Consider the following 12915-nt stretch of genomic DNA (forward strand, 5'->3'; position numbering starts at 1 on the left):
TCATGAGTCTGTGGTCAAGCGCAGTTTGTCAGGGGGGCTCTTGCTGATCTTGGTTGGCAGGTTTGGCTAGAGAACTCTGCTGATCTTGGCTGGCACTCTCCCATGCTTCAGGATCATGGCTGTTGGTCTAGGATGGCCTTGGCTTGGACAACTGGAGCAACTCAGCTCTGTGCCATAAAACTCATCTTCCATCAGGTTGGCCTGAGTGTCTTCTTATGGAAAAGGCAGGGGGGCAAGAGAGGAAGTGGAAATGTATGAGCACATTTCACTTGCTGGATGTTTGCCAACATCTTGTTGACCAAAGCAAGTCACACGACCAAGCCCAGAATCAAAGGATGGGCACTGCCAAGTTACATAGCAAAGGGCATGAAGGTGAAGAATCTATCACAGTGGGAAGTGTTCTGATTGGTAAATCTAAGCCACAATTTACCCGGACTCACCTCATCAGACCACTTGTGACACAGGATGGCTCATTTATGCCATACCAAGGACCTAGCCCTGTCCTTCTTCCTGGATAATCGTGAGGCAGGTCATCATGTACTAATGGGTGATAGACTCCTTCTTCCAGAAAGACTAGCCAGCAGCTGGAGCTTCCCCATTCGAGGATACTTCATACAACCCCTCTCAGAGAAAGCCAGACAGGAGGGTTCATGCACAAAGGGGCATCTTTGGAGGTGGTCTCAGGCTCTAGAAACCTGCTTTTCCCCCGGTCCTCTGTGTCACTGGCAGAGCCCTGAATCTGAGTTTCCATAATAGGCCTGCTCAGAAGCCAGAGTGAAGTTTTATCAACACACAAAGCCTAGGGCAAAAACTCAGATACCAGCAGGAGCACTGAATAAATGAAGCTGAATTCTTTCAACACAGGTACCCTTTTATTTATATAAAATACACATAAATATTCTTTAATTCAACACAGAAATATGCTCTACTATTTTTCTTAAAAGGTGGTGCTCTCTTCATCTAGATTTTTTTCTCACTTTTGTTGCATTGTGATTACAGAGGTGTATTTTCTCTATGCTTAGAAAAAACGCTAATCAGCAATGCAAACATAAGGATAAATGACCATTTATAGTTGGCCCTGGTGTGGGGTATGTGGTAAGGAGTGGTGAAGATTGTGGAGAACTGAAAAGCACTCAATGCATATAAACCACGAGTCTGCTTCTTAGCTCCAGCCACCTCTGGCTGGGTAGGAATGTAGGTGCCATCTGTCACAACTTTATTTTGAAAAGAAGCTAGAAATCTGGATTTTTGATGTAAGCTCTTAAATAGTGGCTCTCTGCTTAAGAAAGTAATATGCAGATGAGAGGAAGCACATCTGTGGACCAGATCCAGCCTATGGGCCATTGGTTTTCAATCTTTGGTCAAGGCTAATGACTGCATTGCACAGATGGGGAAACTGAGGCCCATAAATGGAAAGAGACTTGCTTGAGGTCACAAACAGTCCATTTCAGAGATGTAATTAGAGTCAAACTCATTCATATGCCTCAGGGTTTGACCACAACTACTTTCCTAGCCTCAGTTTCTGGTGGCTGTATCTCCTCAGTCACCCAAGTACCCCACAAACTGGCCTCACCTGACTGACTTCTTACTGTTTGGTCAGACTGTTCTCTCTGCTGAAATGTCCTCCCAGGCTCAGGTCAAATGTCAGCAGCTCTTGGAGACCTCCCCCATTTCTTCAGGTGAAATTAGTCTCTCTTATGTATTGGGATTATAGCATTTCTTGCTCTGGGTTTTAATGTTTTAGTCATTTATTTGTTGATCCTAGTCTGAGCTTCTGGAAAGCAAGGACCCTGGGAATTTTATCTGAGGAATCCTAGAGCCTAGTTCAGTATCTGACAGATAACAGGTGCTCAATAAATGCTTGTGTAACAAATAGAGACATAAGCAAGAGGATAATGAACAGAGTATGTGAATGAAAAAAACCAGACTTTGTTCACCCAGCCTGCGTTCTTCACCACATACATTATCATCAGGATTTTTTGCAAAAGAAAAAAAAATGAGGTAGAAATATGAGGCCAGACACAGTGGCTCACACCCGTAATCCCAGCAATTTGGGAGGCCGAGATGGGAGAATGGCTTGAGCCCAGGAGTTCGAGACCAGTCTGGAAAACATAGGGAGATCCTGTCTCTATAGATAATAAAAAGGATTAGCCGGGCATGGTGGTGTGTGCCTGTAGTCCCGGCTACTCAGGGGGCTGAGGTGGGAGGATTGCTTGAGCTTGGGAGTCTGAGGCTGCTGTGAGTAGCGACAGTGCCACTGCACTCCTGCTTGGAGGGGATAGAGTAAGACCCTATCTCAAAAAAGAAAGAAGGAAAGAAGGAAAAAAAGAAGGGAGAAAGGAAGGAAGGGAGGGAGGGAGGGAGGATGGAAGGAAGGAAGGAAGGAAGGAAGGAAGGAAGGAAGGAAGGAAGGAAGGAGGGAAAGAAAATATGAAAAGGTAGAGCAGAGAGGCTGGGACAACAACAGTCCTGGTGTCAAATACTGACTGTCATTTACAGACTGCATGATCCCTGCCTGATGACATATTTAACATTGAAGCCCAAGTATTCTTGTCTGTAAAATGGGTTCATAACAGCACCAACATCAAATGGGCTGCAAGGATCAGATGAGGTAATGCGCATAAGTCACTTAGCACAGTGCCTGGCAGATAGTAGGTATTCACTAAATGCTAGTTAATATTATTATTATTGGAAAGATAAACTAAATGCCTCTTTTCTCCTTCAGTAGTTCCCAGCCTCTTCTTCATCCCCCCCAAAGATAAACAAACAAAACAGCAACAGCAGACAGGTAGAATTCAGAAGCTAGCACAGCACTGTGATGGGAACCCAGGGTTTTGGGCTTCCAGCCCAGCCTTCTGCCGTCTTATCTTTCTCCTCCCTACTCTGTTGCTTTGAAGTAAGACTCTCTGTAAAATCAGCATTTTCTTCAGCAAGCGGGGACATAGAGAAACGCAGCCATGGTTTGCTCAATGGAGCTTTTCCCGTCCCAGTAAACACGTCCCTGAGAGTACCTGAACCAACACGCAATATCAGTGCCGGCCTGAGGATTAGCAGGCAGAAGGGGCCGCAGGAGTGGGATCCCTTATATGTTTTCATCTCTCTCCTCTCCAGGAAAACAAACAGCTTCTGCAGACTCTCAATTGTCCATTATGGTAAAGTCTGTGATCATCGTAGGAAGCCAGCCAGCCCCTCAGCCATGTGCTTCTGGGATATGCTCTTACAAACCGACACCTATAATTTATGTCTCGGATCCAGTCAGAAAAAGAAACGTTCTCTTTCCAAATTCAATTATGGTCCTCATAATAATTAATAACAATAATAGTTGTTGCTGTTCTCATTTGAGTATTATATACTATAAGGCAACCCCCCAAGTTTAATTTATGACCAAATAAATGGGCTGATGGAGAGGAATGGCCCTGCATTTTTCAGTATAATATTTTGTTGCATTTGCATTTGGAGGAGGATTTGTGGTGAGCTGGAGGATTAAATCCCATGAAATCATTATACAAATTTCAAAATGTCAAGTACTCTGATAGAGATTATGATTTTATCTTCTTATTTTGACAGGAAACCGTGTGTGGCCACCTCTGTCTTAGAACAAGTGATGAAGGGAGGCCAGGGGAGACCAAATAAAGATAGAGGAGCTTGCGAGTTTCCTGATCAGCTGTCTTTTCATTCTGCTCGCTTGTATGACAGAGCGTAATAGACATTTTCCTTTGCACAAAATAATAAGAGCAGTACTTATCGCGCGGTGCCTCCAGCCAGTGGCAAAAGGAAATTAGAAAAGTCCAATGAAGCTGAGAAGTAATTAATCATCATACAGTGGAGCCTGTCAAATCAGAAGGGTCCTTCCAGCTGATAATGCTCCCCAACTCAATTTAGACTGATAGAAATTAGAATTCTTTTTTTCCTCTGGCAAAAACAAAAAGACAAGAGTTAGCACAAACACGGCCAACTGTTGGCTTTCTTGACTGCCTGACCCATTTACAGCAATGTTTGCATCAAGTTTAACTCAAGCCAAAATTGAAGCAACATCATTTACTCCTCAAGGCAATGGGAAATCATCACTATGCTGTTTTAAGACTCCCCCTCCAACCACCACCGCCCTTTCTTCTCCCCTTTACCCACACGAATAGCCATGGCTGCATAAGAAAAATTAAAGGTTGGTTCTATTGATCAGGTTGGCTACTCTCTCCATAGAGTTGTGGGAGGGCAGCATTTAACAAGGCCTGTAATGAGTCTGGACTCTTTGGAGATCAAGTGAAATAAATAAAATGGGTTCAATAGGAGCCACAGAGGGCTTTTGGCAGAGGGAAGTAGGATAACAAGCTGCTGTCAGATTTTTGAGTCTTGTGGCAGGCACCAGGGTGCAGGGAGGAGGGGAAGATGGCACCCCCTCAAGGAAAGACATCTGCTTGTTGGAACAGCCTATGTTGCTGATAGCATAGTCCAGTGCCTCCCTGCCCCTACTCACCACGACCTCCAATTTGGGTCTTGCCACGCTGTAAAGGCCAAGTTAATATTGTTATTGATTCCTCTAGGTACCCCTGAAGGTAGGGCCTCATACAGGCTAGGGCAGGGATCTTGAACTCAGACATGCACAGGGAGCAGGAAGGAAAGAAAATGAATGAAGCTGGCAGACAATGGGCAATAGGGAATGGTGGGGTCTGGGCTAGTTGGAGCTTGCATATCTTTCCTAAGGGGGGCAGCTTCTAGTCCATTCTTGGCAGTCATTGCTGGCGGGCAATTCATAAGGTATATTTCCAGGGCTTCTGATTTGCCATGATAAGCCTCAAGTCCAGAATTCAGTGGAAAATCTCCATACTTTTATTTATTATTTATTTATTTATTGAGATGGGGTCTTGCTCTGTCAGCCAGGCTGGAAGGCAGTGGTGCAATCTCGGCTCACTGCAACCTCTGCCTCCCAGGTTCAAGTGATTCTCCTTCGTCAGTCACCCTAGTAGCTGGAATCATAGGCACACGCCACCATACCCAGCTAATTTTTAGTAGAGACAGGGTTTCACCATGTTGGCCAGGCTGGTCAACCTGCTTCTGCCTCCCAAAGTGCTGGGATTATAGGCGTGAGTCACTGCACCCGGCCAAATCTCATAACGTTTAAATGCAGGCAACTAATTTTTTTTCTGAGACAGGTTCTTACTCTGTCACCCAGACTAAAGTGCAATGGTGTGATCATGGCTCACTGCAGCCTCCTTATTCCTGGGCTCAAGTGATCCTCCTGCCTCAGCCTCCCATGTAGCTGGAATGACAGGCATGAACCACTGTGTCCAGCCCTAAAGAAATATTTTGAAGTATGTGGGCATATCCATCATCGCCTACCATTTGTGGCTGGTCCCTAGAAAGGTGTGGGCCCTTAGCAGACAGTGTATTTCAAACAAGCCATTGGGTCCTAAAGACCAGTGTTTGAACTCTGGATCTACCCTAGTTAGTTGTGTAATCCAAAGCAAGGGACTTAACTCCTTGGTGTCTCAGTTTCCTCCTCTGTAGAAGGTAGGTAATATTTAGCATCTACCTTATAAGCTGGTTAAAAATGCAGAGTACTCACTGCAGTGCCTGGCATACGATAAGTATTCAACAAAGGGCACTGGTGAATTGAATCATCACACTGCATCAATCAAAGTGCATCTATTTAGACAATCTTGCCTGCCTGCCCTCTCTTTTTAGAACTCACACATCTATCTTTCTCAGCTCCTTACTGGGAATTTACTATTAAGACACCTAGCACCAGGCATGGTGGTTCATGCCTGTAATCCCAGAGCTTTGGGAGGCCAAGGCGGGTGGATCACTTGAGGTCAGTAGTTCGAGACCAGCCTGACCAACATGGTGAAACCCCATCTCTACTAAAAATACAAAATTAGCCAGGCGTGGTGGCAGGAGCCTATAATCCCAGCTACTTGGGGGGCTGAGGCAGGAGTATCACTTGAACCCGGAGACAGAGGTTGCAGTGAGCCGGGATCGCACCATCGCAGTCCAGCCTGGGCAGCAAGAGCAAAACTCTGTCTCAAAAAAAAAAAAAAATACAACTAGCAACTTCCTTCCATGGGAGAGGCAAACTAGAAACTCATCAAATTGTAAGAATTACAGAACTTCAGACTGCAATTATGCTGCTCAAAGCAAACACATTCTTACATAGAAAACGAAATTGTCACCTCCCTCAAGCTAATATGGCTGCCTACTTAGTTGCCTGGTCCTGCTTATCATTTGATGGATGTGGGTACAAACGAAGTTAGGGGACAGGCTGGGTGTGGTGGCTCACACCTGTAGTCCCAGCACTTTGGGAGGCCAAGGCAGGTAGATAGCTTGAGCCCAGAAGTTTGAGACCAGCCTGGGAAACAAATCGAGACCTTGTCTCTACATATAATTTTAAAAATTAGGCCGGGCGCGGTGGCTCACGCCTGTAATCCCAGCACTTTGGGAGGCTGAGGCGGGCGGATCACGAGGTCAGGAGATCGAGACCATCCTGGCTAACACGGTGAAACCCCGTCTCTACTAAAAATACAAAAAATTAGCCGGGCGTGGTAGCGGGCGCCTGTAGTCCCAGCTACTCGGGAGGCTGAGGCAGGAGAATGGCGTGAACCCGGCAGGAGGAGCTTGCAGTGAGCCGAGATCGCGCCACTGCACTCCAGCCTGGGCGACAGAGCGAGACTCCGTCTCAAAAAAAAAAAAAAAAAAAAAAAAATTAGCCCGGCATGGTGGCATAAGCCTGTGGTCCCAGCTACTTGAGGCATAAGGATCACCTAAGCCCAGGAGGTCGAGGCTACAGTGAGCCGTGACCGCTCCACTGCACTCCAGCCTGGACTAGAGTGAGACCCTGTCTCAATAAAATTAAAAATAAAAAAATAAGTGACGGGACAATCTGGGGGCTTGGAGGGAGGTAATCTCTTATAAGCGGTATTTCTCCATGGGTCTTGTATTCAAAAGGTCTCAGGGATTCCTACTTTTTTTTTTTTTTTTTTTTTTTTTTTTTACTTTCCCCATATCTGATAGCAGAGAAACAATCACAGCAGTGACACCTGTGCTGGCAGACAACCACAGCCATGTCTTCTACGCAACGTCTTCTACTTTCGTTACCTTTAATCCTGACAACAAACACTGCATGGTTAAGTATTGTCATTTCTTTTTCACAGGTGAAGAAATGAAGACTCAGAGCGGTAGAATACCTTGCTGATGGCCACACAGCCAGAAGGCAGCAGAACTGGGTTTTATGTTGAAGACTCAGGTTACATCTGCTATTCAACATTGCAAAGCTCACCCTGGTTTCCGTTTCTCCTCTCTCTTGATGTTTTTCTTTGACTCTCTTGCTCATTCATTCACTCATTCATTCAACAAATGTTTATGGAGTGCCTACTATGTGCCTGATACCTCTTTAGGGTGTCTTAATGTCGTTTCCAGCAACAGTGACTGTGGGGCCTGAGAGAAGGAAAGATGGCGGCCAGCGCTTCCAGTTCCATTTGAGGCAATTCCTAGAGAAGAAAGGGCACCAAAGAGTCTGGAGAGGGTGCTCTCTCTTCTGTCCCCTGGCATCCTGGGGAAGCCACTTCTGCTGACACTGGCTCCCTGAGAAACAGGCAGGGGGCTTTCCTCTAGCACAACAGATGGTGAGGGGAAGCAGAGTCCCAAAACTGGCCTCAGGGGAAAGACAAAATCCATCCAAACTGTCCTGGGCCTGCTGGAACGCCCCATGGTGGGCTCAGAACAGGAAGGGAGGAAGACCTCAGGGGCCTATTTCCTGCCGGCCACAGCCAAGTGGTTGAGTAGTTGCATGGGTTCCGGTGCTCTTTCCCCAGGGATATGGCATGGCCAGGAGGCAGCTGCATTCCCTTTCAGTGAGGTGTCCCTGAGCACAAAAACCTCCCATGTGCAAGCCTCTGCACTGGGCTCGATATGACCAGCCTAATCACAGCATATCTCTACATTTGAAATGTTGCCACCAGATAGGCTCTGCCATCCTTTGAATGCTAGGGGATTGAAGTGCAAAGGAGACACTGTGCCAGGCAGCACTGTCAGCCTGGCACCTGGGAGTGAAGCGTAGTAGCACCCACTGTCTTCTCTTCTTTGTCCTCAAGGGAATGAGGGCTGCCAGGCACAATGGTAGGAAATCCACACTTCAGAGGGCCTTGTCCTGGTCATGGAGGCATTTGTCCAAGGCCACACAGTGGAGAATAGCTCTTTCAGAGACCACTGGTATTCCAGCCAAACAACCCACAAAGCTTCCTGCATGTTAATAATCAAATAATAATAATAGTGCTGGCCAGGACTTAATGGGTACCGCGTGCCAAGCTCTGCTCTAAGTCCTTTACATATATATTTCATTTAATTCTCACAACAAATTTGTGGGGTGGGTGCTATTATTATCTCCCTTTTTACTGATGAGAAAACTGAGGCACAGAGAGGTTATTTAGATGGCCTAGGGTCACACAGCTAGGAGCCACACCACCAGAATTCAAACCCCGCCATCTGGCTCTGTATCTGTGTTCTCTGGCACCATGCTGTACTCTTTCTTGATCCATGAACTTGAGATGTCTACATAAAAAATAGAGCCAATTGATTTTCTTTTTATTATCTGGAAATGGCAGAAGGAAAGAAGGGAAGCAGGGAAGGAAAGCAAGATAAAGGGAGGAGAAATTGAAAGAGGATAGAGGAAGAAAGAGGAGATGCAGAGAGCGAGAAAGAAATAATGAGGCGAGATGGAGGAACTGGCATGCCTGAAAGTGAACCACACTCCAGGCTGCTGCTGAAATCTACATTTTCTCCTGGTTTATTTACAGATTGGGTGTTAGAGCCTAATAAACGGGAGGATTTTTAAAAGGTCCTCAGGATAGCAGAGCCAAGCTAAGCAAACGGCTCGTGTACACAGCCCAGGTGAGATGAAAGGCCCCAGCCATCAGGCGACCACTCAAGGTTCTTTATCGGTCGGCTGGGCCTCTGCGGGTTTGAGTAAACCCAAGTAGGCGGTGCTGGCGGAAAGTTCAAAGTCATTTTTTCGAGCAGATAACGCAATCAAAAGTTTGTTTATCTGTTGAAATATTTAGGAGAACAAGATATCACTTTGACCTGCCTACACCTGCGACCTTTGTGAATGCAGTTAAGATGTGTTTTAAGCTTGTTTGTAGTCTTAATCTTTAATGGGCTTCTGCATTTTTCAAAGGGTAGAATTTGGCATTAAAAAAAAAGAGAGAGAGAGAGATTTCTGTGCCATCAAGAGAGGTATGTTTGGTAACCTTAGCCGTTCCCACGCATTCTGGAAATCAAGAGAAAAAAGTGTATGGTCCGATCTCAGCCTTGGAATGGAAGCAGTGTATCTCCTTCCCTTAATCCAAAGCACCAAGACGTGGAGCTGAAGCTATCACCTGACTCCCCAGGCACTGGCCTTGTGGCCAGAACTGCACTTGAAGATCTCCTTAGAAGGGATGGGGACTCCAGAAATGGAGCTTTAAGTTAATCAGTAATTGGTTTGTGTCCTGGAGCCCTGGGTGTTTGAAGCCACATAGCACTACTTTGCACAGTCCATGGTTGATCCTGTCGAAGAAAATTCATTTTGTAATATAAACAAGGACGAGAATTTGGGACACAGAAATACTCAAATAAAAATGGAATATCCTGAGTCCTACTTTTTCCCCCAACCAGGCTTTCCCTGAGCCCACTTATTTATGGTTTTTCCAACCCTACTGGGACTGTAAGATGGAGATAATACTGTCCCCTTAACAGAGTTCTCAAGAGCTCTGAAGAGGACAGAGAATGTACATAAATGTCCACATGGTGTTTGGTATACAAAAGCAAAATATGTGGTAGGCTTCCTACTCTTTCTCCTCCTTCTCCTCATCCTCATTGTCATCTTCATCAATATCATTATCATCTGTCATCTGAATGACTCATATGTGCCTCCAAAAATATCTTCTTCCAGCTTGATTGCGGGAAGGAGGACTCAATTCTTGCCTTTCAAGATTGGTAAAGAAATCTATGGCCTTCAGGTTTCGGGGGCAGGCTGGAGGCAGGGAAGGGAGCACCTAAGATCTGTCTACAGTTGGTTCTGTGGAGACCTCATCTGCCTGGGTGTAATTCCCCTACTAGAGGGATGAACTGAGGTCGGGGTAACCAATGGCCAACTGTCATCTCCCCAAGCCACAAAAGGGAGCCCAACTTTGACTTCACATTCCTGTGTTGGGTCTAGATCCAGAGTGGGTATAAAAGTAATCCAGAAAGATGGGAAGGCTTGTTCAAGATGGCAGCCCCATTGAGCCTGCCACAGTCTTCCCATGTGTGATGACGCCAGCAACTCAGTTCTGAGTCACAGGCTGCTGGCCACCCCCATCATCTGCATGGGTTACATTTCTTCGGATCTAACATGTTTGCTAGTATGTTTCCAGATCCTGATCTCTCGCCTATGAAATAAAAGTAATCACTGTTTTAACTACCTCACAAGATTGCTTCATGAAATAGTCATAATCATAACTAACGTGAATGGAATCCTTTCTATGTGCCAGCCACTGTGATAAGCAGTATTACTTTGTGTGATCTCATTTCAACTTTGTTTATAAGCAAATCAATGCAAATTAAAACTGCTAGGAGATACCATAACATTCCCATCAACATTTGGGAGAGTGTGAAATTGCACAACCATTTTTGGAAAAGAGTTTGGCAATATCTAATCAAATAGAGAAGTGTCTAAGTGAATCAGCTACTCTTTCTCTATTATACACACTAAAAATCCTCTCATGTATGTGCCCCAGGAGATACATACTAGAATTTTCATAAAGCACTGATTGTGACAGCAAGAAAGTTGAAAAAAAATATAAATATTCATCATAAAATGGAATATTCTGTGGCAATGAAAATAACTACTTAGCACTACACATATCAACATAGATAAAGAAAGGCAGGGCTGGGTGTGGTGGCTCACACCCGTAATCCCAGCACTTTGGGAGGCCAAGGTGGGAGGACAGCTTGAGGCCAGCAGTTTGAGACCAGCCTGGGCAACATAGCAAGATCTCCTCTTTACAAAAAAGGGGGAAAAAAAAAAGAAAAAAAGGAAGGGACAGAAGAGTATAGAAAATCTTGTGTAGGGAAATATAATAAGTAGCTAAAGTTTACGTTTAAGAAGAAATACCTGGGAATGGCAAGGCAGTCTTACTCTCTGAGGAATGGGTTGGGGGGTGGAATTTGACAGAGAAGCATACATAGAAGGGGCCTCCTACTATATTTGTAATATTTTATTTCTTAAGGTGGGTGGTGGCTACATGGGTGTTTATTATATGACTTTTAGACCTCTTTGGGTGTTGTAAATATTTCCTAATTCATTGGTAAAAATAAATCAACTTTATTAAAATAAAATAAGCAAATGAAATTGAATCCAAACCTTGTGGAAGTCAGAACCCACTGGAAAAGACCTCTGGTCCCCCCTGGGACAGGCCAGTGGGACAGGAAGTCTGCCGGCTCCAGTTCCAGCCATGGGCCTCCGCAGAAGCACCCTGCACACAGCCTCGCGCTGTGGCATGAATTCCAGGCGAAGGAAGGGTCAAGATGACGGGACAAGAGCAGACGGGGATCACGAAGCCCCTGGATCAACCGAGGTCCCATCATGAGGTGGGAGAAATGATGGATTTATATATTTAATGAAAGGGTAACTCTGGAAGAGTAATAAAAATATGGTCAAGTAGGCAGGTATGTTTGGCGCTTTTTTTTTTTTTTTTTTTTTAAATCTACACTCTGGAGCTCTCACTCTGGTACAATTCTTTTGTTAGATCAGGTAATATTTTTGAAAAACAGCATTACAAAAGGTTAAATGTAGAACAGATGTAAGTTATAAAATACAAGCTGATCAAAGCTGAGATTTTGAGACAGATATGTTAGCAAATGATGATAAATCCGTCCCAGTAGGACTGTAAGAAGCAGACAAATGTAACTATGGGAGAGTGAAAGTCAAGGGTTGAAACTGGGGGAAGGGGAGAAAGAGTGAAAACAAATGTTGAAGTTAATTCTGGTGAACTCACGCAGAACATCAATGAATCTATGCCGAGATAGGACAGTCAGAACGGACACAATATGCTCCATTTTCCTGAAAAGATTCATCAGATTCCTGGGTTTTGAATAATCCAATTATGGATTCAGATCCCCAAATCTCAGGGATCTCTCTTTATACCAGTTTCTGACTCTAGATTTCAACCTTTTCAAGAGACAGAGCCTGGGTTCTGGCTTAAAGCTTTAAAAATCGGCTTTAGAGTTTGGGTGTCTAAACTTCTCATTAAAAAGCCAGATAATTTATAGTCATATCATTAAACCGCTTCCTCAGCCTACCGTGATAAACTTATCATTTTGGGGGGGGTAGATTTCAACAAAACATTATGAAGACTCCTTTCTTGGAAGGCGGCAGAGAAACAAAATTAAATAAATCAAGCCTCTCTGTGTCAATAAATGAAGCCCATGAGAAGTAAACTATTTACTGAGGCTTAAGTGAAACAGAAAACATTTAAAGATCAAGAAAAAAGGAGGTAATTGTTCAGCCTGTCAGCAGGGGACCGCTGTGATAATTTGATCTGAACTCTGCTAACAAATGACCGAGCCGTTCTTCCAACTTTAGTATCTGTTTATGCTCCTACAAATTGAAACCCCACAGCTCAGCTGCACAGAACAGGGCCCAGTACAATAGCACATTGGCCCGACGATTAGTTCAAGCTGGGGATGGATTAGCTGTCCATCCCAGGCCTCCAAACCCTCCAGAATATTTTGTCTTCCCTGCTGAGGTAAAAGGGTGCAGACATATGCAACTAATAAAGAAACAGGCTTCTATGGACTGGAGGTTGAGTGGAAGGAATGCAGAACAAAACTATAAAATAATAATAGACAAAGGGGCAGTGAGGACTGGGGAACTCAATACCCCCTCTGCTTACCCAGGCAGGA

The 12915-nt window shown here is 44.8% G+C and overlaps 1 annotated feature.

The window, feature by feature from the left end:
* Positions 4858-5104: a silencer, noted in NCBI's record as "fragment chr16:54658831-54659077 (GRCh37/hg19 assembly coordinates)". NCBI's record gives its function as "represses an EF-1alpha promoter that drives an FKBP-Casp9 reporter gene in an ReSE screen in HepG2 liver carcinoma cells {active_cell/tissue: HepG2}" and the evidence as "EXISTENCE:reporter gene assay evidence [ECO:0000049][PMID:32094911]".

This window comes from Homo sapiens, chromosome 16 (genome assembly GCF_000001405.40).
Source record: "Homo sapiens chromosome 16, GRCh38.p14 Primary Assembly".
Classification (NCBI taxonomy): Eukaryota; Metazoa; Chordata; class Mammalia; order Primates; family Hominidae; genus Homo; species Homo sapiens.